The sequence below is a fragment of the Homo sapiens genome, chromosome 7 (assembly GCF_000001405.40).
Source record: "Homo sapiens chromosome 7, GRCh38.p14 Primary Assembly".
Lineage (NCBI taxonomy): Eukaryota > Metazoa > Chordata > Mammalia > Primates > Hominidae > Homo > Homo sapiens.
Window position 1 is genome coordinate 27,387,487 of NC_000007.14, and position 26,699 is coordinate 27,414,185.

Consider the following 26,699-nt stretch of genomic DNA (forward strand, 5'->3'; position numbering starts at 1 on the left):
TAATCTTGTAACTTTTTTTTTTTTTTTTCGAGACAGAGTCTCACTCTGTTGCCCAGGCTGGAGTGCAGTGGTGGGATCTCAGCTCACTGCAACCTCCGCCTCCTGGGTTCAAGTGATTCTTCTGCCTCAGCCTCTTGAGTAGCTGAGACTACAGGTGCGCACCACCATGCCCAGCTAAATTTTGTGTTTTTAGTAGAGACGGGGTTTCACCATATTGGTCAGGCTGGTCTTGAACTCCTGACCTTGTGATCCACCCACCTTGGCCTCCCAAAGTACTGGGACTACAGGCGTGAGCCACTGTGCCTGGCCATAATCTTGTAACTCTTTACAGATATATTCTGAATCTAATCTTTTGAGGTTTCTTGGTGGAGGAAGCCTGAGAGGAAGAACACCCCCATTGTAAGTTGGGAACCAAGATTCTAATAAGTGACACACTCCAAGTCACTTAGAATGGCGAGAAATGATTCCAGAAAAGAATCTCTGTTTCCTGGCAACCAGCTCAGTACTCTCTGAAGGGCACTTGGAAGGAAAGTTCAATCAATGGAAGGGTCAAATGTTTCTTTTTCAAATGGCCATTTTGCATGTAATGGCTGTTCTGTGCAGACATTGTGGGCTGTTCTTCTCTTGTTCATAAGATCTAGGGTCCTTCTGTGCAAATGTATGTGCTGTGGGTAAGAAATTACTTCAACTGAGTTTATTGGCATTTCTTAGCACATACGAGTTCGAAGAAAATTTATTACAGGTAAGAGCTCTGTCCGTTAAAACACTGCTGTATAGATTACATAGTGATACATTTGGTCAGAGAGACAGCCAAGAAAAGCTCAGGACAGATCTTGCCAATTCCAAAGACCAGCCTTTCCAAAGGGTCTGTAAATCTTTCTCCCAACCCCAAAGCCACCTGCTTGGCCCTGATAATGTTTTCAATTTGACTGAATTTCTGCTAATGGGAATGTGCGCAGTGTAGGAAGGGTGCTGGAATCAGACCGAACCGTTGGTTTGAACCTGAGCTTCTGCATGCTTTTGAGAAAGGTCTTATCGTGCCCAAGCCTTCATTCCTTTAGATGTGGACAGAGTATAGTAACATTATTTTAGAAGATTGTTGTGCTGCTTCAACAGGATTATGTGTGGGTATCTGCTACTTGGTATATTTAAGCCTTCTCCTGATCACAACGCATTACTAGCTGTCAAAAGATTGGCAGGGAGATCTGGACCAAATTGAAAACAGTACTGACCAATACTATATCATCATTTGTGCTCAATCAGAGACTTTGGTTAGTTTCTCTGCCAGCTCTCGAAACTCTGTATTAAGTGTACGTAATAACCCCTTAGGACTTAGAAACACGGACTTCCAGTTAACAGAAGAAAAAGTGGTCATCGAAAAGTAAGGCAATGAACCTAAAGCTACACGAGTCACTGGCCAGCTCTGTGGATGAGCAGCTCTCACAAGGGCCACTGTGGCACCCTGGGGGCCGCCTGTGTGTGGTGGGGGACGGGTGCCACAGATCTCTGGAGCTATGGTCTCTGGAGGGCTCTCTCTCTTTCTGACTGATAGGAGAGACTTTCTTAAATTTCAGTTGTAACACTGCATACATTTCTTCCCCTATTAATAACCATTAGTTCTTCGTGTGCTAGAAATCATGAGTTAGAGGGAATAGGACAGTCCTTTGTAAGACAGGCCATTGAGGAATAACCCCAAATAGAAACAGTGAGTTGCAATTTCTCATTCAACAAAAATATTACTGAGCACTTCAGCTGTGCTGGGCTAGGCGAGTGCTGGCTGATGGCAGGGACACCATTGGTGAATCAGACCCAACCTGTCTAGTGGGAGAGCTACAAATAACTAGAAAAGACTGTGTGGTGTTCACCTTCACCAATTTAACCTGGACCTCGATTCCTAAAGTACAAAAAAAGGAGACCTGGGCCAGGTGATTCCCCAAGGTCCATTTTACTTCTTCAACTCATGTTTATATGAAACTTCACCCTCAGTTTCTTAAAAAAACAAACAAAAACAAAACAAAACTAAAGGATAGAGAAATATAAGAAACATTTTAAATGATTTTACAACATCTTAATTTCCTCTATAAAAAGGTTTAAACTGAACTGGTAATGATGACTTCATCCAAGCAGCCAATTTTAGCTCAACATTTAGGAATCGCTGTGGAAGAGTCCCAAGAGCCTTGGCTGTTCTTTCTTTCTTTTTCCGCCTTTGCTCTTTCTGGCCTGCTGCTGCTCAAAGTTTTCCATGTTGATTTTTTTCCCTCTCTCCCTGCCTGCTGGTTCCTCTACATCATTTACTGCCTGTGTTAATTCACTTTTATTTGACCCTTAGCATCATCTGTCAAATTCTTGCATGTTCACTAGCATACCATTGTTTTAGTAGTGGCTCTGCAGCTTCAGTCGACCTCTGGCCACAATTCCCCTAACTGTTGCTGCTGTTTCTTCTTCTTTCCTCATCTGGCTAGCTAGAAATGGGTGACATTAGCATTGAAAGGTCTGTTCCCGTCCATTCCTGTTTTCCTAAAATTTCAGCTTTTGAAACTGAACAAAGTGATACTGTAGTAAATATGCCTGTGCTAAGAAAACTGGGACTTTCCTTTAAAAAAAAATGGAGTTTCAAATTATAATGAATTTGAATTTTTCCTTTGAAAACATATTACATTCAATTAAGCTGTATTGCAAGCTAGGCTCACAGTCTGTGATTTATATTGTTATAATTAGCAGATGAAATAAAGATTATAAAATACACTGAACAGGGAAATGCAACTTGAGAATATGTTAGAAGTGTTCATTCTAAACATTGCAGTGTTTGTTTCCATCACCCTGTTTCTAATTAGAAGCACAAGCACAAACTAAAACTAAAGGGTAGGATAAGAAATGGAGGCTATTTTAGGCCAGATGCAGTGGCTCATGCCTGTAATACAGCATTTTGGGAGACTGAGGCAGGAGGATCACTTGAGGCCAGCAGTTTGAGACCAGCTTGAATAATACAATGAGACTCCACCTCTACAAAAAATAAAAATAATAAAAAGTAAAGCTAGATATGGTGGCTTGTGCCCATAATCCCAGCTACCTGGGTAGCTGAGGCGGGGAGGATCATTTGAGCCAGGAAGTCGAGGCTGCAGTGAGCCATGATCACACCTCTGCGCTCCAGCCTGGATGACAGAATAAGACCTTGTGTCAAAGAAGACCCAATTTAGGGTAAATATCAGACTTTCTCAGGTTTGCCCTAAGTCACTCAATGTTTTTGTCCTTTCTTGGTATATATTTCAGTCATTATTTTGTTTATTGTCCATCCCTCCCTCCTCTAGGGTGTAAGCTCCATGAGGGTAGGGAGTTCTGTTGTTTTTGTTTAGTGCTGTATCTTTAGGGTATAGAATCATGCCTGGCATATAGTAGGTGCTCTCTCTATATTTGAGTAAATGAAAGACTAGAGGAATAGTCATATTTGCAGGACTAAATTCCAGTATTGTAAAAGGAAATTACTATACTGCAGGCTAAACATGGTAAATGGAACACATGTGTTTATCTCCGTTCCCTCCAGAAATGCCTCTAAAATAACATAAAAGGCCTAAACTCACAAAGACTAAAAGAACTAGAGAGAAGACTGCAGCAGATAAGAGATTTCAACAAAATTTTGATGGCTGATCACCTTGATGATTTTGTCATGCTGGGAAAAGCTGAAACCTAAGCCCATGGGGGAGAAGCCAATTAAAAACAAGCTATTTGTACCACAGCTCCCTAGAAAGGCTCAGGATTTGGAGGCACTTTGTGCCTCTCATGTACCCTTCTCAGGAAGCTACTGGAGGATGTACTCCACTAAAACAGGGTAGAAGTCAAGGAAGAAAAAGACCTAGGGTTGGGGAAACAGGAATCCAACACAGGAGAGAGATAAAGGACATTTCCAGGATGAGAGTAGAGAGAAGTCTCAGCCTGACAGGTTAACAGGCCTAGGGAGCGACCAGTCCAGATGGTGGCAGGGGAACAAAAGACTCCAAGGTTAATGTCTTAAAGAAATAGAAAACATGATACTTTCAGGAACCGTTTCTCTAGGTGTTAAAGAAGTAGAAGCAGCAGCAACAACCTGGTGTACTTGAACGTTCCCAGAGGAGATTTTACAGTTCTGTCAGAGGATTTAGGGTCCCATTAATTATACAAATGAGAAAACAAAGCAATTATAATCTCCAGGGAAAGCAAACAGCTATATGAAAAAGGAAATGGAATTATATTTTACTACTAAGGCTTAACTATGATTAATATTTACTTATTCATCATAATGCTATATATATTGGGATGTTCAAGGGGAGGGCAAGTGTTTGGTGTGTGTGGGGAGGAGACAGTATAAGAAAATAAAACCGGTATCTTCCATAACTGAGAATCAGTGGATGCTATCTAAAACTGAAAAATCATGGCTGGGTGCAGTGTCTCACACCTGTAATTCCAGCATTTTGGGAGGCTGAGGCGGGCAGACCATCTGAGGTCAGGAGTTCGAGACCAGCCTGGCCAACATGGTGAAACCCTGTCTCTACTAAAAATACAAAGATTAGCCAGGTGTGGTGGCACATGCCTGTAATCCCAGCTAATTGGGAGGCTGAGGCAGGAGAATTGCTTGAACCCAGGAGGTGGAAGTTGCAGTGAGCTGAGATCGCGCCACTGTACTCTAGCCTGACTGACAGAGCGAGACTCCGTCTCAAAATAAAATAAAACAAAACTGAAAAATCAAAAAATAGCAGTAGAAACATAGTATTCAAAGCTATGAAGGTAAAAACTCAAATAAATGGCTAAAATTTAAAAGTGCTGGCCTTTGGAAAGCTTACAAAGCTATGTGCACATGTGTTATATTTTTATATAAGTAAAAATAAAATTAGCAAGAGGAAATGAGGCTTTCATTATACACCTCAAGAGAAGGATCTTGAAGTCAGATGTGTTCATCTTTCAATCTCTATATGTAGAAGATATTTGATAAATGATGAATGAATGAGTGAATGGAGAGCTGTCATGAACTTATTTAGAGTTCATAACATATCCCTGGCAGCTGGTGGAATGATGAGAAGTTCTGCAAGAGAGAATGATTTAGGAAGCTTAGAAAAGATATGCAATTGTGTATCCCACTACAATGGAGCCCAAGGTTTCTGCTCAGTTTAACCTATTACACAGTGTAAGGCCGGCAAAAATTGTTCATTTCCATAGAGCTGACTTTGCAGATTTAAAAAGTCCTGAATGGGAAATAAATATGCTGCTCTTAATAAATGTCTAGTTAAGGTATAGTTAATATAGTTAAATGTGAAAGTGTATAAATGATATATTTTAATAGCACCCAGAGCACATTTCAGGACTGAGATAAATGCAAACTTTTAAAAAACTCTAACATCCTCTAAACACATTGCCTTATCCTAGTAAATGATAAATTACTAAAGAAAAATGTTATTCTGCAATGTTTTGAAGATTAAGTAGCATATGAGTAAAATTAACATTGTGTGTAAGTGAAGCTGTGACTATATCATGTCAGGTTGGTAATAAAATTGCAAAGGAGAGAGAATTAGAGTTTTATGCCACAGAAATGGAAGTAGTTTTCATTTTAATTGTTTTTCTTTAAATGGATTGTTTCTGTAGTATACTATATTCTTTCCAGTTCACAGATGTTCAGGAGGGATAAAAGAGTTATAAAATATTCTAATGTGAGCTTTTAAAATAGCTTTTTTGGAACAGGAAAAGAGCAGTCTAAAGAATTCAGAATTTTTAGAGTACAATAAAGCATTCATATTGCAAATTTAGTAATTTGTGTTTTGTGATATGGAAAAATAAATGGCCTTTTAACATTGACTCCAGTGCTGGCCTGTTAGTCACATACATTCACTTTATGATTTTATTTTTAATGTCAGAGTTCTGACAGTTCACTTTCTTCCTTGCCTCCTCTCTTGCTAGCAGTTCTTTATTCCTGGCCTTAGGAAAGTCCACCTTTTCTCTAGCATCTAAATCTGGCCCTGGACTTTGCCTGGGCTGACCTGGATGGATGAATTTGTTGTGCTAATATCAGAGGCTTCCAGCTGTGCCTCTGCCACTGGCCAGAGTTCCTTCCCCCTCCATCCTTCCAGCAGGCCCCACCCAGGTCCTCCTCAGAGGCCCTCCGATGGCACAGAGCCAGGGTGCTGTGCTCCTTATACTTGCTGCACTTAGTATTTCTTGTCTACTTCTCCCCATCTTCATATCTTTCCATGATTCTTTCTAAAACTACATTTATCCTTTGTGCTGTGTACAAAAGCTCCTGTTTATTTCAGGGCTCTGATCTTCTGTTACCATCACAGATGCTTTTTCCCTGCTGCACACATGATCAGAGCCTAAGATGTATCCTGAGAAATGGGCACCATTGTGGAAACCAACATTGGGATCAAAATGCCACTTTATTTATTTGTTTATTCAACAACAACAGCAACAGATATCTACTGAGTGCCTGTTATGCACGAGGTGCTGGGCTGGTTTTATAATGCTGAGCAAGAGAAACATGGGCTCAGCTCTTACGCAGCTTACCATCTGGTAAGCAAAATATACGTTGAAATGAATTCGCCAATGAATCTATTACTTTCCAGTATCATAAGCACCGGGAGATAGATGTACAGGGTGATATATGTACATAAAGCAGGGGTATCTGACCAAATTTGGGGGTTAGGAAAAGTTTTCTTCAGGAAGTGACACTTAAACTAGAGTCAGCTGGAGAAGAGCAGAGCTTCCTCTGCAGAAGCTCAGGAGTGAAGGCCTTGAGGCAGGGGAGAGAGTGGAGAATTTGAGAAACTGAGAGAAGGATCCTTGCCCTTCATTGATGAGGAGGCATTGAAGGATGAGGCTGAATGGGCAGGAGGAGATGTTATGGAGGGCTGGCACGTGAGGGGCAACAGAGGCTTGAATGGGAGCACGATGGCATCAGACCTGCACTCTGACAGAATGATTGCAGGGTGTAGGTGTGGATGGGGGACATCTGTTCCAATTCTCCCTCATATCCGAGGTAAGCTGGTACCCCAAGGCTCCCTGGGTTCACCCATCACTTCCTGTGGTCCTGCCACAGGGTCACACACAAGCGAGTGAGGGAACCAGAGGGCAAGGAGTGGTACACACCAGCCTGGAGAAGTAGATGTGAGAGATGCATGCTGCCTTGATTAGAAGACTTCTAGATTTTTCTTTGGGCATTTCTCTTATTTTTCAATGTACAGTCAATGCGTGGTTTTTAACCTTGCTTCTGCCTGATCCTCTGATACCTCTTGGAGGTAGAAGAGGAAACACTAACGTAGCAAAGGCAAAGGGGAGTACTCTGTTGTTTTGTATAAGGGCTGTATCATCAACCAAAAAAATGAAGCTACACTTGAGGTAGGGGAAAGTATGTCATTTCGAATGGAAAATCCAGTCGTTAACTACATTTTAAAAATTATTAACAAGAAAAGGACCAATGATAGAATGAGACATTAAAGAAAAACACAGACATCAGAGTTTCTGTTTCCCACACTGCAAAGTTGAATTCCATCAGTCAAGCCAGAAGGTTAGGATGACCCTGCTCTTCTAGCCTCCTCTCTGTAATCCAATACAAACATATTCTTTGCGGAAAGCAACACTGTTTGGTGATATTTTCTGTTATGTCAGCTATTTAGAGAATAAGTTATTCTACTCATCACTCCATGTATAGTTTTCCACCACAGGGCATTTTCCAATTTTTTCCTTGTAATGCAACACTTGGTTTCATGGGCAAAAATGTTTTCTGAGTATAAGAACAACTTCCTTCTTCCCCTCCTCTCTCCACCCTCCTGTCCTTCTTTCCACCCTTTCTTCCTTCCTTTTTCCTTCCCTTTCCCTCCTCCCGTCAATAAGTATTGGTTAAGACATTCAAAGCACTAACTTCAAAATCAAATTTGTGCGAAGTGGCGGTTTTGATCATCATCCCAGCATTGTCCTGAGATGACTCCCCGTTGATTGATGACCTAATTCTGCCTGGTCAAATCAGAGGAAGTCTTGGCCACATGGACTTTGTGGCCACAAATCCTGTCTAGCACATTGATTTTGATTCAGCTGGGTCTTCCCTATTTGGACACCTTCTTTGGAGATGTTTGAGGAAAGATGGAATGTTGGAGGAGGGGGTTGTCTTCTTTTCTCCAAAACAAAAAGGAGAGAGAAGGTGACAATACAGCTCTGCACAATAGAAAAGGAAAACCCAGGCCCCTGAGTGAGAGCCAAGGAGCACTGCAGAGACTGAAGCTTGTGCCCACAGGTAAACGACAGCAGCTCCCCTACATAGGAGCAGGGCCACTGCTATGGAGTCCAGCAGGGAGAGAAGGGGGCAGGCAGGAGAAGCAGGGGGAGATTTGCTTACCCGGCTCTCAACAGTGCTCGACTAGGGCAATGTGGCCTCCCTGACCAGGTGGTGGAGGCACTGAGGACATCCCACATCTCCCTTTGGCACCATTCCTTTGCACACCTGGCCACCCATCATGCACTCAGCAAGCATCTGTTGAGTACCTTGTATGGACATGACATTGAGATGCTCACATTGTGTCACTCCTCAAGGCACATAAAGTCTAGTGGGAGGCAAATAAATAGACCACAGAACACAATTTGTGGCAGAGCAAATGAAGAAGGTGCTTTAACAGAGGGACATTGGCAAATAAAGAAGGTGCTGTCACAGACGGACATTTTCAGGCACACAGGGAGAAGGGGAGAATTTATTATGGCTGGGTCTGAGATTTAAATACGAGAATATGATACTTAAAGTGACAAGGTCATGCAACATACGTGTGAGGTGTCTGATAAACCTTCATGTCAAAGAAGCCTAGTGTATGAAAATTTAATCTCGGAAAAGTTAGGTGGGGCTGTTACTTTATAAATAGGTGCTTTACAACAAAAGATTCTTAAAATAGTAAGTATGTCTTATGTTAATATGACATAAAATATTAACAGAAGGAATAGACTTAAAGGGCTTTTGAAATGTTAATATAGCTATGAAAATATGGTTCAAGCTACTAACATGTCATTGCACATTATTTTTCATAAATATTTCTGTTGCATAAGCTAAAACATACCTGTATTCGGGATCATAAGTGCAAACACCTCTAGGAATAGGACCCAGGCATCAGGAGTTTTTAAAGCTCCCAGGGTTGTTCTGCTGTGTGGCCAACACTGAGGACCACTGCTATGGAGTAGCGCCCCTCAAACTTGGATGTGCAGAGGAAGCTCAGGGGGTCTCTTAAGTGGAGGTTCTGACTCAGTAGGTCTGAGGTGCGGTCTGAGAGTCTGCATGTCTAATGGGAACTCAGGTGGTGGTGATGTTGCCAACCCAAGACCACATGGTGGAAATGATGTTGGTTTTAAACCATGTGCACGGTGCATCCTGGGGAGCCTCTGATTGGACAGTGGGGCCTTGATTTTTCCAGGGCTTCTCATCCTGAAGTACAAATTGAATTACACAACAATAACAACTCAGATGCCACCAGCTCTCATTTGAGCCAGTTCTCACAGGTGTACCACACTCCTGTCCCCACTCATGGAAAGAGAGTGCTGTAAATATGTCCAATAGTCGTGTCATAGTTCTTAGGGGTATGTCACATGCATGTCCAGTTAACTGCCCCATAATCATTTCTCTCTCTTGTCTTGATTAGCCTTGTTACCTTGTACTGTGACAGCAAACCCCAGCCCTACACCAGACCCACAACGATTCCAATGGGGGACAGCCAGGAGACGACTCTAGCTAAAAGACACCATCCTGTCCTCAGAATCACTGGTCCCAAGCAGCTCTTATAGCTCAGGGTGTTAGGTTTCATCATCCCTTATAATGAGTTCTCTCTGGAAGGTCTTCATGGCTCACAGTAAAAAAAATTCAGGGGGCCCACCCTACCAAGGCAACAGCCTTGTCTGAATCCCTGCTCATTTTCACATAGGAACCATAGCCATACCAAGTTTCGTTTTGTTGCTGGAAAGAAGAGGACAAGCCTAGTAGAAAAGGGAGTATGTGGAGACAGGAGGAAAAGAGTTCTCCGGGGAAATTCATGCCAAGGACCTCTGTAGCCACAGTCTCCACAGCAGTGGGAACACTGCCTGGGACTCTGATCAATGGGTTGTATCTATGCAGGGAGGGCTGGACTTGCTTGCAGTATGTTAGTACAGGGCCTTAGGACCTTCTCAGATGGCCTTCACAGATGGCGTATCTCATCCTACAATGGACATGATGTGACTGGGCAGAAACCTCAGTTAGGTGCAGAAACCTCATCAGTAAAGGTTTCTGTGGTTAAGGGAGCACCCCACCTCCGTCTGCTGAACCAATCTCTCTATAAACTCTTCTCATCATGTTTCCAGGTACTCTGTTTCCTCTCTCCATTTTTTCCATTCCCATCATGTGTGTGCAAGATGGACACATAGACGTGGCATGTGTCTACACCCTATGTTATTGTTAAACACACAATTATCTTTTTCTTTGCCAAAATGCATATTTTTGTTGTGTTATTTGAGGAGCTACTAACAGTTAAAGTGGCCCTCATAATGATTTAAAATGTCCATATGCAGTAATATACAGCCTTCAGAAAATACTGGCACAGTGTCTATTAACATACTGCAGTGTGTGTGTGTATATTTTAAGACAGGATCGTGCTCTGTCACTCAGACTAGAGTGTAGTGGTATGATCATGGCTCACTGCAGACTCAAACTCCTGGGCTCAAGCAATACTCCCACCTCAGCCTCCATAGTAGCTGGGACTACAGGTAGGTGCCACCATGCCTGGCTAATTTTTTTTTTCCTTGTAAAGATGAGGTCTCACTATGTTTCCCAGGTTGGTCTTGAACTCAAGGAATTCTGGCCTCAAGGAATCCTCTTGCCTTGGCTTCCCAAAGTGCTGGGATTACAGGCATAAGCCACTGCACCCAGCTCTGCAGTATAAAATAGTAAATTCCAGGAAAATTTAAATGAGGCCAGAATTTCCAAACCATTCTGCTGCCATTTATAACAAATGGGCCTATCATATTATCTATTTCACTCTTTTGTGTGTATTTCTGTTGTTTCATAAATACAACTCTCTCGACTAAGTATTGCATGCTTTCGGAGTAGAATGGAGATGCCACGTTGTTCACATCCTCAAAGGTTTTGTTTAAAGAGACAAACAGCTTAAGCAACACCCCAATTGGTAAGTTTAGCACAGTTTAGATGTAGAAAAGCAGAGATGTGCCTTACTGCAAATCACCGCCTCCACATTGCCAATATGTGAAAACCCAAACTTCCCAAACACACAAATTAAATTAATGCTGGATGTTTCATTTTACAAAGCTTTCATTAGATAGTGGGTTCCTAGAATGCATTCATGTGAAGGCAGCTCTTCAGAAGTCAATCTCCTGCACAGTATGAAGCAGGCCTTCCTCTCATTCTGCATGAAACATTCCAACTATTTTTAAATCATGAGGTCTAGATTTAACAGCTTTACAAGGAAAAAATTATCTAGGTTTTTACATGTGTAATGAGAGGATACAGTAAGGCCAAAAACCATCTTGAGCCAAGAAAATTTAGTCTTGGAGCAAACAGTGTTTAAGGATTTCCGATGTTACAGCAGCCCCTGGCAGAGCTGCAAAGAAAAGCCAAGAGATCTCCGTTCAAGTTACAGCCTGGGGCCAGCTTGAGCACGTGGGTGCCACTACTGCTGGGGCTTCTGATAGATCAATGAGGGAGTCACTGGCTGAAGAACACAATCATGTCCACTGTATGGGCAGAGATCACTAGGCATTGGTTCACTGTTCACTAGTTTTTTTCCCTACACCTGGTGGGTGCATGGAACTAGACTTAACCAGGTTATTAACAAAGTATTTCTGGACTGGAGAGATCTTAGAAAACCATGTACATCAACTCCCTCATTTATTATGCATGAGAAGGCAAATAACTTGCCCAGGACCATAACACAAGTAAAGGTTAGAGTTGAGACTGTAGTGCTCTTGGCTTCTAGTGCAAGACTCTTTCTGTACCTGCTACCATAACTCTTCATCTCCCACCTCCAAAATGGGGCAACTCCCTGGGGTTAACCTGCCAGTTAACCTGTTCATCACTAAAAAATGACCATGGTGAAACCCTGGGCACAAAGCTTCTCTAGCCACAGTGTGGGCCCAGCAGCAGGTTCATGTAACAACCCTGGGCTTTTACAGACTCACCTGCTCCCGAGCCTGGCTCCCTTTTATTCCGCAGCCTCACTCCTAACAGGCGTCTCAGCCGTCTCTGATTCTCTCCTTGTGGAAACCTTAGGACCTAATACCTTCAGCTCCTGCATGCCCAGCCATGGCAGGGCATTAATGCTGGCTTTATTTCCTCCAGAAATGAGCAATAGCTCTTCAAGCATTTTCTACAGGCTCCACATGGCTCCAAGTCACAGCCCATGGCCACAAGCACTGCCAGCTCCCTCAACAAAATTGGGAAGTTTGTGGACCCCATGAGAGGCCTTATTTATTACCTCTCCCAGAGAAAGCAGACTGGGGCAATAATCGTCAAAGTAATATTTACCCCTTAATAACTGCCTATTTTTATACTGGTGTTAGAGGTTAATAGCAGTGTTATTTACTCCTCTGCCAAAAAGAACTGAAGGATGTGAAATGTAGCAGTCAATAAAGCTCAACAGTCAGATAAATAACATTCATATTATTTCCTGACAAATCCTTCTGCAACCCAGGGATATAAATAACCCTAAGAAAGCACTTCCTGCATTACAAGTTTACTGATGTGTAAAATGTAATTTAAAAGAGAGCCTCGAACCCTAGAAGCACTGGACTCTGTAACTGTGTACACCAACAGACAGCCCCACGATTGTGCACACGCACATGTGTGGAGGCCATCCTCGAATGCACATTCATTCCCAGACACACTTATTATCGCTAGTCCGTGAGTGTGGTCATTCCTCTCATTTCCTCTTGACTTCCGGGACGTGCACTTCTGCTTTTCCTCCTACCTCTTTGATGACCTTTCTTAGTTTTCTCCTCTCATGCTCTAAAGAGGACCTCATCCCAGTCCCAGGCATTCTGTTCTGGTGCTTTCCTCAGTGGTCCCGCCTGTCTTCGCAGCTGAATCACAAATATGTATCCCCACCCACCATCTCCCTGAGCTCTAACTCCCTGACATTCCAACTGGCATGTATAAGAGGCACCTCAGTCATGGTCTGGCCACGATGTGGCTCTAAATCCCACCCTTGGCCTGCTCCCCAGTCCCTCAGCCCCTGTGGTCTTCCCCAAACCAGCAAATGGAATTACCTTTCATGCAGCTATTTCATGAAAATGCCTAGCATTTTTTTTTTTTTAAGTTCTAGGGTACATGTGCACAACATGCAGGTTTGTTACATATGTATATATCTGCCATGTTGGTGTGCTGCACCCATTAACTCGTCATTTACATTAGGTATATCTCCCAATGGGATCCCTCCCCCCTCCCCCCACCTCACAACAGGCCCCAGTGTGTGATGCTCCCTACCCTGTGTCCAAGTGTTCTCATTGTTCAATTCCCACCTATGAGTGAGAACATGCAGTGTTTGGTTTTCTGTCCTTGAGACAGTTTGCCCAGAATGATGGTTTCCAGCTTCATCCATGTCCCTACAAAGGACATGAACTCATCCTTTTTTATGGCTGCATAGTATTCCATGGTGTATATGTGCCACATTTTCTTAATCCAGTCTATCATTGTTGGACATTTGGGTTGGTTCCAAGTTTTTGCTATTGTGAATAGTGCCGCAATAAATATATGTGTGCATGTGTCTTTATAGCAGCATGATGTATAATCCTTTGGGTATATACCCAATAATGGGATGGCTGGGTCAAATGGTATTTCTAGTTCTAGATCCTTGAGGGATCACCACACTGTCTTCCACAATGGTTGAACTAGTTTATAGTCCCACCAACAGTATAAAAGTGTTTCTATTTCTCCACATCCTCTCCAGCACCTGTTGTTTCCTGACTTTTTAATGATCGCCATTCTAACTGGGCCTAGCACCTTTTTAATCCCCTCTGATATTCCCCTGCTCCCACTTGGTATTAAAGCCACCAGCAAGTCCTGCAAGCCTCTATCCCTGTTCTTTCTGTCTCTGCCCCATCCCGCAGTCCAAGGTCTCCATCTTTCTGATTGCTTTCCCAGCTGCTACTCCAGCCCCTCATTCATTCCCCTCCCAGAAGAGTGAGCTTTTAAAATATGAATCCAAGGTCTTTCCTTGGCCTACCGGCCCTATGTGACCTGGCCCTGTTCCTCTCCAGCCCCTCTCCCTCTCTCATAGCCCTCCAGCCACAATGGCCACCTCTTAGTTCCTCAAACAGATCAAGCAGGCTCCTTCTACCCAGAATGCTATGGATCCAGTGTTCCCATGCTGGCTTCCTCCTGTCACTCTGTGAGGGGTCCTTCCAACCATACAGTCTAAATACACGCTACTCCCTTTATGACACCATTACTATTTTCTTCATAGCACCCATCATTTCTTGAAATTATGTTGTTCCTAGGTGTGCTTGTGTGTTCATTATTGATCTCTACCAGACTTCGACCTCCAGAAGAGCAGGGTCTTGGGCTGTCATCTTCATCAGTGTACATCCAGTGCCTGGGGAGCCATCAGGCACACAGCAGGCATCTGTATTAGTTTGTTAGGGCTGCCATGCAAAGCATCACAGACTGGGTGGCTTGAACAACAGAAATTTATTTTCTTAAGATTCTGGAAACTAGAAGAAATCCAAGATCAGGGTGTCAGCAGTGTTGTTCCTTCCTTCTGAGGCTTCTCTCCTTGGTTTGCAGATGGCTGTTGTCTTCCAGTGTCTTCACATGGTCTTCTTTTTTTTTTTGAAACACAGTCTCTGTCGCCCAGGCTGGAGTATAGTGGCGCAATCTTGGCTCACTGCAACCTCTGCCTCCCGGGTTCAGGCAATTCTCCTGCTTCTGCCTCCCAATTAGCTGGGATTACAGGCACCCGCCACCACACACGGCTAATTTTTTTGTATTTTTAGTAGAGATGGGGTTTCACAATGTTGGCCAGGCTGGTTTCGAACCCCTGACCTCAAGTGATCCACCCACCTCGGCCTCCCAGAGTGTTGGGATGATAGGCGTGAGCCACCGCACTGGGCCCACATGGTCTTCTTTATGCATCTGTGTCCTAATCACCTCTTCTTGTAAGGACATATAAGTCCCAGTCATATTGGATTAGGGCCCACTCTAATGACCTCATTTTAACTTGATCCCCTCTTTAAAGACTTTGTCTCCAAATACAGGCACATCCTAAGGTACTGGGGGTTAGGGCTTCAACATATGAATTTTGGAGGGAACACAATTCAGTTCACACCAGCGTCTAATACAGGGTAATAGTGATGATGATGAAAACTACCATTATTGTGATTTTATTATGTGCTAGACATTGTTTCGAGTACTTTTCCTGTATTATCTTAATCTTCACAAACACCCTGTAAGAATGTCATTATTATCAGTTCCATTTTCCAGGTGAGAAAACTGAGGCACAAAGAAATTGGGTGACCTGCCTGAAGTCACAGATTATATGTGGTAGAGCCTGTTTGATTCTAGCATCTGTGGTCTTTACCACCACGCTTTCCAGCCCCCTGGTATTTACAAACCTCTGTTGAATGAATGGACGCAGGGGAAGTGACCCGGAATTCATCAGGTTCACATGCACAGCAGCTAAGGCAGGCACATGGCCATGCTGCACACATTGTTTCCATGTAACTAAATTTATCCATCTTTTTCTTTATGGCTTCCATGATGGCTCCTTGCCTTGCTTAGAAAGGTCTTTCCTTCTCCAACATTTACAAATTTGGGAATCGGTTTTTCTCCCTCATTTTGAGACATGAATTGCTACTTAAATTGATCATGAGAGTCACTCTTTTTCAGGGTGACTTAAACAAGGTTTTTCTTTTGTTCATTCTTTTTTTTTTTTTTGGAGACAGGGTCTCACTCTGCTGCCCAAGCTGCAGTACTGTGGCCATGATAGCTCACTGCAGCCTCCTGCCTCAGCCTCTTAAGTAGCTAGGACTACAGGTTTGTGCCACAACACCCAACTAAGTTAAAAATATACACTTTTTTTAGAGATAGGGTCTTGCTATGTTGCCCAGGCTGGTCTCAAACTCCTGGTCTCAAGTGGTCCTCCCATCTCAGCCTCCAAAGTGCTGGGATTACAGGCATGAGACATCGTGCCCAGCCTCCAATGTTTTTCTTAATCCACAAAACTGGAACTTTTGGCCTTGAATATAACGGTGATGGAGAGTTGAAAATGTGTTGTTTCCAAACCTTCACCAGGACTTCTCCCCCAAAAATCTCTTCTCACGTCATGTTGAACAGTTCGTTGGTAAGTGATGTGACACATTTTTCTAAGCCAGAAATCTCTGAACTTTTTCCTGATGTCAGCTACTTTTGACTTCTCTGAAGTCCTCAGACAAAGCAGGGAGGCAAGTGTGGGTGGTGGGGTGGGAGGGAAGGTGGCTGTGGCTGTAGGCATGTGACTATTCTTCTCTCCACTTTGGAATCCCTAAAAATCATGGCAGACAGAATGGGAGGACAGGCCTTGCAGTGATCAGGGAAAAAGGGGAGTGAAAATGCAAGATGCTGCAAGAAAATGATGTGACCAAGCTGACTTGGAGATTGACCCAGTAAAACTTTGAACTTTATTAGTTGTAAATATCTTAGTCTGTAAAAAAAAACAAATACTGCTGAAATATTCTTAGTGTGGCATGTCCCATTCTGGAAATTTCAGGTAGTTGCAGTCTGGCATCATGTGGCACATCATCACTGTCTCTTCTGCAAATTTCTGAGAATAAGAAGAATTGGTTGAAAAAACTTCTAACATCTCCATCGGTTTGTAATCAGCGAATACAGTAAGTGCAGGGAGTTGATGACTGCTTGCAGAGTACATTATTTTATGTATCTTGTGGGAGAGGTTGAGAAGGTTCTGTTTAAAAAGGTTACCCTAATAAATGATTTACCAGGGCAGCCAGAGATCAAAGAAATTGCTCAGAAATTGCATCTCAGGGCACCTAAAATTCAGAGTTTATGGAAGCCCTCAGAACCCCAAACCTTTTATGACTTTTATATTAGCTAACCACTAAATTTTCAAAGCAGTGTGACTGCCATGGGTTTTAATAAGAGCTGCATGGCCCAATCCCTCCTCTGTTAATAAATGGAACGACGATGCCGTGAGAGACAGTTTGAAAATATGGCACATGTCATGGAAGATCTAATACGGAGCAAGGCTCAGGCTGGATGGTGGAAATTTTAAATTCTGATGAGAAAAAAATTGACCCAAAACAAATCCCACATACTTTGAAACAAAACGATAGGAATTCTGCCTTGGACGTAGTGCCTTAGCTGGAGTCTGCACATCAGAGAACTGTGAGAGGCTGAAGAGCTCCAGAGATTAGAAACCCAGTTTAGTGCTCTCAGAGCAAGCTGGGCACTGACTTACTCCTCATCACCGTTGTCAATGATGAAAGTTACCCAGCACCCCTAGGACTTTAGAGAGTTTCCCTAGAACTAGCTGGTGTTCCTCTTCCCAAACAAGCCATGGTCCAATCTCAAAATGGAGAACCAAAAATAGGAAGGATAGGTCCTCAAAGTGTGTTCCAGGGACCCTTTGAGGGTTGGTCCCAGAGACCCTTTTAGGTGGTGTGTAAGGTCAAAACTATTTTTTAATAATTCCAAGACACTATTTGCCTTTTCCATTCTCATTCTCACATGAGCAGCCCGCAGCAAGACTGACAGAAGGATCACCCAACTGAATGCTGCTCAGATTGCAGAATTATGAGCACATAAAATGGTGGTTGTTTCCAGCCACTGAGTTTGGGGTGCCTTTTTTGCAGCCATAGATCATTATCATTGGAAGAGTCATGCCAGGGATGCATGTTGAGGCTGGTAGTATTGGTGACTTTTATTGATGACCTTTTTTTTTTTTTTGAGACAGAGTTTTGCTCTTGTTGCCCAGGCTGGAGTGCAGTGGCGGGATCTCGGCTCACTGCAACCTCTGCCTCCCAGGTTCAAGCGATTCTCCTGCCTCAGCCTCCTGAGTAGCTGGCATTACAGGCATCCGCCACCATGCCCAGCTAATTTTTGTATTTTTAGTAGAGACAGGGTTTTGCCATGTTGGTCAGGCTGGTCTTGAACCCCTGACCTCAGGTGATCCACCTGCCTTGGCCTCCCAAAGTGCTGCGATACAGGCGTGAGCCACTGCACCTGGCTGGTATTGGTGATCTTGATGGGGGAACCTTCTAATTTTTTTTCAGCCATTTGAGGACTGAGTCTGGGTGTCACCAAGGAGAACGTTTAATAAAGGATCACTCATAGAAATGGAGATCAGAATTACTGATTTCTTGGCATATTGATGGCTTGAATCAGAAAATGAGGGTATTCGCACAGCCATGGTTTCCCCTCACAGACAGAACTAAAAGTGGTTACTGACAGTTGAAGGAGATTTCTGCCGATGAATAACTTTGAGGAAATTCGTCGAAATGATGATGACGATGGTGGTGATGATGCTGATGATGGTGATAATGATTGTGTGGTGCAAATGGAACTTGGCCCGGGACTCCAGAGTACTAAACCAAGAGAAATGCATGTTGGAGAGAACATGTTGTCATGGAGAGAGTATAGGCACTGGCGTCAGAAGACCTGGTCCACGTCCTGGCTTCATAATCTTGGACAGGTCATCCCTGCCACCTTAAGTCCAGTTTCCTCACTGCTAAATGCAGACAGTGTACTTCCTGCTTCTCCTTTCACAGAGTTTTCATGAGGGTCAAGCGAGAGAATGTGGAAGTGCTCTAGAAAGTGCCATGCAGAGGGGAAGAATATTAAGATATGATACGTGAGCTTGCTGCTGGAAGGAATCTTCCTGATATTAAGCAGTTATGAAAAAAAGTAGCAGGTGATAAAAGACCTTTTTGCAAGAAGTTTTTGAAAAAAAATTTTTTTTTGAGAGTTACTGGACTTGGTGCCTCCTACAGCTGATGTCCAGGGAAAGGTGATGTGGCGCCACAAGTAAGTGCAAGCTCTGTGTTCCTGATGTCTGGAAGGTGTAGCATTTTCTGTTCTGTTTACCATCATCATGTATAAACTAGTCACGTCCTAGTTGTTCAACACAGTCCCAAAAATTGGGGATGGGGATTGAAGCACAAAAAGCAGGTCCTTCCTTTCTAGCCTGCTCATGGTATGCAGAATAATCCCCATCTCCTTCCCAAAGACGGCCACGTTTGAATCCCAGAACCTGTGGATGTGTTAGGCTGTGTGGCAAAGAGGAATTAAGGTTGCAGATAGGATTATGGTTGTTATTAGCTGACCTTGAAGTGGGAGAGTGTCCTGGGTTATCCACATGCATCCAACGTAAGCACAAAGGTCCTTAAAAGCAGAAGAGGGAGGCAGTGGAGGAGAAGCAGAGGGAAGGCCGGTAAGAAGGACTCGGCTGGATGTTGCAGACATTGAAGACGGAGGAAGGGGCCAGGAGTCCAGGGAGCAGCCTCTAGGAGCTGGATGAGGAAAGGAAAGGCATTCTCTCCTAGAGTCTCCGGAAGGAACAAATCCTGCCAACACCTCGATTTTAGCCCCATTAGACCTATTTTGTCCTTCCAACCTCCAGAACTGTAAGAATAAGTTTGCATTGTTTAAGCCAACAATTTCCTGGTAATTTATTACATCAGCAATCGAAAACTAATATATTGCCTGACATCATCTTAGGCAAGCTACCTTTGTGGGAGGACTGGGCGGAAGAATGGGAAGATTTGACCCAGGGCCACATATGATGTCAATGGAATTTTAGTTCCATTTGCCATGATACATTCAAAGACCTAAAGTTACTGGACTTGGTAACTTTAGGTCTTTACTGGCAGGCAGCATGGAAGGTCTGAGATTTTCCCATTTGTGAAGCTGTAGTTGTATAGGCAGGAAGTGGTATCAGCACCAAGAGCCAAGCTGCATACAATTTACCATCTGACATCTCCGCATTGACTTATTTGGCTTTTGTCTGGCTTCCCCTCCCTAGAATATAAGCTGTGTCAAATTCACTGCTGTGACCTCAATGCTTAAAATAATCCCTGGGCCATAGTAAATGCTCAAGAATTGCTTAACAAATTCACTTATTCAACAAATTTTTGTTAAGACTGTGTATCAGTACTAGAAAGTAAGTTAATTGCGGGCAGAGAGTTTTATCTGTTAGCTGCTGCACTTCTGTATGTAGAGCAGTACCTGGCACTCAGTAGACATGTATGGAATAGTTGAATTAATGATTTAAAGAATAACATACAAAGGCTCTGCTTTTGAGGAGTATATAGTCTAGGGACTTCTGTTTTTAGGTTTGTCAATATAGCTGCTTGTACCAAAATTGAACTTTATTTCCTCTCCCAAATTTTCAATAATTGGCAATGACTTGTCAATTCAATGTGTTGCAGGGGAGGAGAGGTGAAGGCATGAAGAGGGGCTGGAGAAATGACATGAGGTTCCTAAGTTAATATTTTTCCAGGTTATATGAGGATTTATCTAGACAAATAGAGTATTTGCTGAAACAATTTCTATTTTTATTATTGTAATATATGTATGCATATTTGCAATTTGACTACATGACATGCTCACTGTAAGAGAGTCAAGAAGCAATGGATTCCCCACCTTCCCAGTTCCACTCCAACCCCTCTCAGAGGTAACCACTGTTCACAGTTTGGTCTGTGTTCCCTTCTTTTCAAATATCTTAATAGAGGCCTTGTTTTCAGAACTGCTTAAAATAAGTATAGGCCTAGAGCTTGATAGGAACCAAAATTGCTGAGAAAACAGCTTAAAAATACATACTAAAAATAATATGAAAGACAACTGTGTAACAGAAACCCCTAGATGGGAAAAATTGTTTTTCAAATTGCTGTGATTTCTACAATAGCTGGTTTTCCCATGCTCTATGTTTTTGTCCCTTTAAATTTTTTTATATCTTAAAATTACCAGGAGCCCTAAATCTATTTGCCTGGGAATGAACAAATAAGCCTTTACTACTATCAACAGCAAAAAAGAGCCTTTCCTGGCCTTTACAGGGATGATATTTTTGTGAAAATTTGAGTGGAGTACTTTGGAAAACTTTGTGTTTTGCAGCAATATAGGGAGATGAGGTTATCAGTTGCTATCTCTCATCCAAATAATTCTCACCCATGATGACATCAAACCCTTCCAGAAGGAAGATATGTCAGCAAATCAGGACTGAAGCCCAGGCAGTAGTCTGATGGCTGCCCTTGAACTTCTCTCTCACTCTTATATTCCCTCCTAACCTTGTGTTGGCCTGATATTTAAAGGCTAAGTTTATCCTATAATAATATTTACTATTTTTATATCTTTTTACAGATTATGAAGCAATTTCCTACCTGTTTTTTTATTTGATCCATGAACTTTTCAAGAGATGTGTGCTATTGCTGTTGTGACCATTAGCTCCCATTTCTCAGATGAGGAAACTGAGGCTCAGTGAGCCTTAAATGACTTGCCCAAAACTATAAGGTCAGTTAGTGGTGGAACTTCTGCCTTCAAATTTCTTGTCTTTTCCTGGAAGCAATGTTGGCCCCCAGATAAGAAACCACAGTTCATAACCTCCTGTTATTGTTGTCAAAACCTTCACCAACTTATTGGAAAAACAATAATTATAAAAATAATAAAATTAGATAAGGTGTTTTATTGCATTTCGTTTATGCAGCAAATACAAGGCATAAACTGTGCCTCTCTAAGGTGGTCTCCCAAGATGGAGAATGGACTTTCTTAAGGGAGAATCGCCAGGATGTGCATGTGGGCATCTCTGACTTTTCTACTGCACTGGCTGCAAGCCCTGGCTAGGGCCCCGGGTAACGACTTTCACAAGAATCCAGGGCTAGGAACTCCCATTTTGTCCAATAGGGCACAGAGGCTCCCCACAGCATATTCACCGGCCTCCCTCACTCCAGTATCCCTCTTCCCCTGGCTTGCTGCCTCATTGTCCATACTACCCTCGCAGCAGGCTGGAAACACAGACAAGTGGGGCTGGCAATACAGGAGGCTTCCAAGACTTTAGAGTTTAATTGCAGGTCTGGAAAGATGGGAAGCCCAAAGGTAGGACCTCTAGGCCTTCCTGGAGGGTGCGGCAGGCTTCAAGTGCTCTGACCCAGTAGCTCCATTTGTGCACATGATTGGAAAAGAGCATTATGGGAAAGTCCTTCAGTGAATAAATACAAGATGGTGGTGGAGCATGGGGGTGGGGATTGAGTTTGAATCCTGCCTCTGCCACCTGATAATTAAAAGACTTCCTAATCTCTGTGACTCTGTCTTATCATGGAAGCAAAATAGAGGTAGCATTATCTGCCATTCCTGGTATTTAAGGCTGTTATAAAAACTCAATGAGTCATTAAGTAAAAGCACTTTAAAACCTATAAAATACCAAAAAAACCACCCCACATCTGCTTGATTTTTGTTGTTGTTGGTTTGTCTTTCAGATGGAAATCTCTGCCCATAAAAATCTTCCACAGTAAACAGACACTGATGCAAACACACTGGGCTTCCTTCTATTACCTCATCATGCATGTGCTCCTTAAAATTGATCACCAGTGACTTCCTCTCTTCTCCCTTTCCCTGTGCTTACGTAATTCCTTTCCTGAATGACTTATCTTAGTACCAAGCTTTGTCCTCCTTCCCGAGTAGCCCAGTATGAAGAGAACATAAGGGAGACCCATTTAGTAGTGGGAAAAGTAACTACCGGGTGAAAATGACGTTGATGTTTTCCCAACGTCAGCAACACTGCTTAGACTACTACTCCAATAGTTAATCAAGCTGGACTTCTAATGTTAGGGACTGAGTTTTATGTCCCCTAGTATGTACTTTCTCTTCTATAATAACAATGAAAATACAGACCACCCAATTTGAAAGTGGGCAAAGAGCTTGAATAGAGAATTTCTTCAAAGCAGATATACAAATGACCAATAAGCAAATGAAAAGATGCTCAACATCTCCAACATTAGGGAAATGCAGCTCAACACCACAGTGGGATGCCACTGCACACCCATAGATGGCTATGCCTTTTTTTCTTTTTTTAAAGGAAAATAGCAAGTGTTAGGTAGGTTGTGGAGAAACTGGAATCCTTATACACTGATGGTGGGAATGTAAACAACTCAGTTGCTGTGGAAAACAGGTTGGTAGTTCCTCAAAAAGTTAAATACAGAATTACCATGTGGCCCAGCAATTCCACTCCCAGGTATATACTCCAGAAAACTGAAAACAAGTACTTAAATGCATGTACACACATGTTCATAGCAGCATTATTCACAATAGCAAGGTGGAGACATTTCAAATGCCCACAATTGGATGAATGGATGAACACTGGTGGTACATACATACAGTAGAATATTACTCAGGAATAAAATGGAATGAACCACTGACACAGGCTACAATGTGATGAACCTCAAAAACATTAAGCTAAGTGAAAGAAGTCAGATACGAAAAGGTCACATACTACATGATTCCATTTATAGGAGCTATCCAGAATAAATAAATCCAGAGAGACAGAAAGTAGATCAGTGGTTGCCTGGGGCCTGGGTGGGGAGAGGGGAATGAGGAGTGACTGCTTAATGGGTATGCAGTTTCCTTTTGGGTTGATTAAATGTTTTGAAACTAGATAGAGGTGATGGTTGCACACCACTGTGAATGCACTAAATGCCACTGAATGGTCCACTTAAAATTAAACTGGTTTTAAGTCATGTGAATTTCACCTCAGCTGAAGAAAAAAACACAAAAAGCCATGGAACCCCAAAGCTACAGTAGGGTTGTTTGTTTCCAGAAAGACGCCCAGCAGTGCAGGGGTCTGTTTGAAACAAGAACCTGAGCCAGCTGAGCAACTAGGCCACTAATGAGCTCCCCTCCTCCCCGGAAGCAAATGTTTCTCCTCCTCCTCCTCCCAGCCATTCATTAGGCTCCAACCTGCTACTTGTCAGGTAGCATTAGTTGTACCGGTATCCTGGGGACCGGGGTGCCCTTGCTCTTCCTGGTTCCTTATTTATTATGTTAATGAGAACATAACCAAGCTTCTGAGGCAGAAAGTCTGAGATGGATATTTGTGCTCTAGTCAGTGGGCAGGTGGTCTCCACAGGGTGCTGTGGAAGGACTCCCACCAAGATGTCTGGTTTCAAACCCAACTATGTCACACACTTGCTCTATATTCTTGAGCAAGTCAGTTCTGAGGCTGAGTTTTCTTACCTTAAAATGAGACTAAACAAAATTTTTCTTAATTAATTTCAATGTCCAGAAACAGATCGCCTTGGTAACCCCTCACTTGCAATCTCCCTGGGTCTGAGCCACCATCATCTTTTCCTTGACAAATGCAATGGCCTCCTAACTGATCCCCCTGCGTCTGCCTGTGCCCTCTTCCCAGCATAAGACCGGCTCTTTCAGACATAAGTCAGACCACCACATTCCTCCTCAAAGCCCTCCAGAGAGTCCAGGCACGGTGGCTCAACACCTGTAATCCCAGCACTTTAGGAGGCAGAGGCAGGCAGATCACTTGAGGTCAGGAGTTTGAGACCAGCCTAGCCAACGTGGTGAAACCCTGTCTCTACTAAAAATACAAAAATTAGTCAGGCATGGTGGTGGGCACCTGTAATCCCAGAACTTGAGGGGCTGAGGCAGGAGAATTGCTTGAATGAGGCGGAGGTTGCAGTGAGCAGAGACTGTGCCACTGCACTCCAGCCTGGGCGACAGAGCCAGACTCCATCACAAAAAAAAACAAAAACAAACAAACAAAAACCAACCCTCCCAGAGCTCTCAGCTCACTCGGTAAAAGCCAGGTCCTGACACGGGCATTCGTGGTCCCACACGAGAGCCTGCCTGCTGCTTCTTCAATCACACCTCTTACCACCCATGGCCCCTTGCTCACTCCACTCGAAACCCGGAGGTCTCCTTTCTGTTTCTGCCTCAGGACCTTTGCACTGGCTGTCTTCCAACCTGAAAGGTTGCTTTTGCCCTTGGTTCCTCCAGGTCTTGACTCAAATGTCATCTTACCAGTAAAGTCTTTTCACCTTGGCAGTTTTTATCCCTCTTTCTTGCTCAGTTTTTGTTTTATATTACATTGCACTTAACACCATTCCATACTTAATACCAAACAACGTCTTCTTTGTTTATTATCTGTCTCCCCCTAAAATGTAAGTTCCATGAGATTTTTTTTTTTCATTGCTATATCCAAAATGCCTAGAGTTGTTACTGGAACATAGTAGGTGGTCTGTACACATGAACCAAATGAATGAGTTATTTTGAAGATCAAAGACAATGAATGTGAAAGTACTGTACAAATGTACAATGTTTGGTTATTCATATGAAAATGAAGTTTCCTTGATACACCAAAGTCTACACCAGTAGAATCGAATTTGTGATGTTTGAAAAAAGCAAATAACAAAAATAAAAATTTTCAGTTGGAAAACTGCCGTGAGCCTCAAAGGATATTTTAGGATCTGACAGAGCCTGTTTCTAGACTCTCATCCCAAATGGCACTGTTTAGTCAGCTTCCCAGAACTCATTTCATCAACCTTAACAGAACCGACTTCATATGAGCAGGTTTCTGACGTGTGTAAGTCGAAGGAGCCTGGCTATTTCATAGCTGGTGTGGGATTGTATGGATATCAAATTGGCTTTTTATTTGCTACTGCAAAATTAAATTAGGAATGAAAGTAATTTGGTTCAATGAAAATAAAAAACTAGACTCAAAGTCAGGGGAAAAAAGGCCAAATCAGACAGAGGTCAGGACTGCCAGGAAGGGTCCTTCTTAAAGTCTTATAAATAGAAGGTAATTTCTAAAATGTCAAGGGTTTCTCGGCTCAATTAAAATTATTTGTAGCACAAATGGCTGAGACCAGGGAGTGCTTTAAACCATGGAAATGCAGTAACAAGAATAATAAGCAACTAGGTTATTGTTGTTCACGAGATGTCTTATTTAAATGTTGAAGAATTTCAATCATGTCAGATGCCAGAAAGGGCCAGTTATAAAGGGAACGAAGCTGTTGTCCTTCAGGTTCTTTTCCTCCTACTTTCACTTAGAAATAGGAAACAGCCAAGAGCCATTTTGCAATCGAAACAACTTCATTTCCCATGTCCATTTGGAAGAAAGAGCCATAACTCAACTAATACACGTTTAGGACAGGTTGGGGAATGGCTGTGATGCCGCAGCCCTGAGCTAAGAGCACATAACTTCTTTCTAAATGTGTGTTGGACTCCTTGGCTGTCATCTATTAAAGGATGAATTTTGCAAATATTATGAACTTATCCATTAGGGAAGCAAAAACAAATATCTGATAGACTCAGCTTTTGTCACAGATAAATAGTTCTTTACATAAGCAAGCCCAAGAGTGTTTGGCACAGCCTCGCAATGTCCAGTGAAATGTCAATTCAAGCCAGAGGTGTGATTGTTTATTGTCAGCATAGACTGTCATCACTTATGGTCATAATCAGGAAAACTGCTGATGATTGATACCGATGGCAATGATGATTACTCTTGCAATAAGCTTAATTAAAATAATGAAGTGCTACTGCATGTGACTTAGCTGTGGCACACGAAGGATGTTGTATAGGCACCACAAAGAAGTCACCAGGCAGCATGGGGTTCATCTTTCAATCCTGACACACCTGGGAAGCCCCAAGGTATTGGGCGTGATTCTGGAGGTCCTCTGCCTTCTCTCCTGGGATCACAGTTCCTCATTCCTCCTGCATACATAATTGCTGG

The 26,699-nt window shown here is 42.8% G+C and overlaps 1 long non-coding RNA gene across 2 annotated transcripts; it reads left to right on the forward strand.

Moving 5' to 3' along the window:
- Positions 1-281: 281 nt before the first annotated feature.
- LOC105375207 (uncharacterized) lies at positions 282-22,994 on the forward strand. 2 transcript variants are annotated; one of them, XR_001745153.1, is made up of 4 exons: positions 282-742; positions 16,719-16,839; positions 21,323-21,472; positions 22,435-22,994. It is a non-coding gene; the product is annotated as an uncharacterized LOC105375207 (long non-coding RNA). The 2 variants fall into 2 exon arrangements; XR_007060266.1 differs by lacking the exons at positions 282-742; positions 22,435-22,994 and having other exon boundaries at positions 16,471-16,839; positions 21,323-21,641.
- The last annotated feature ends 3,705 nt before the right edge of the window (positions 22,995-26,699 follow it).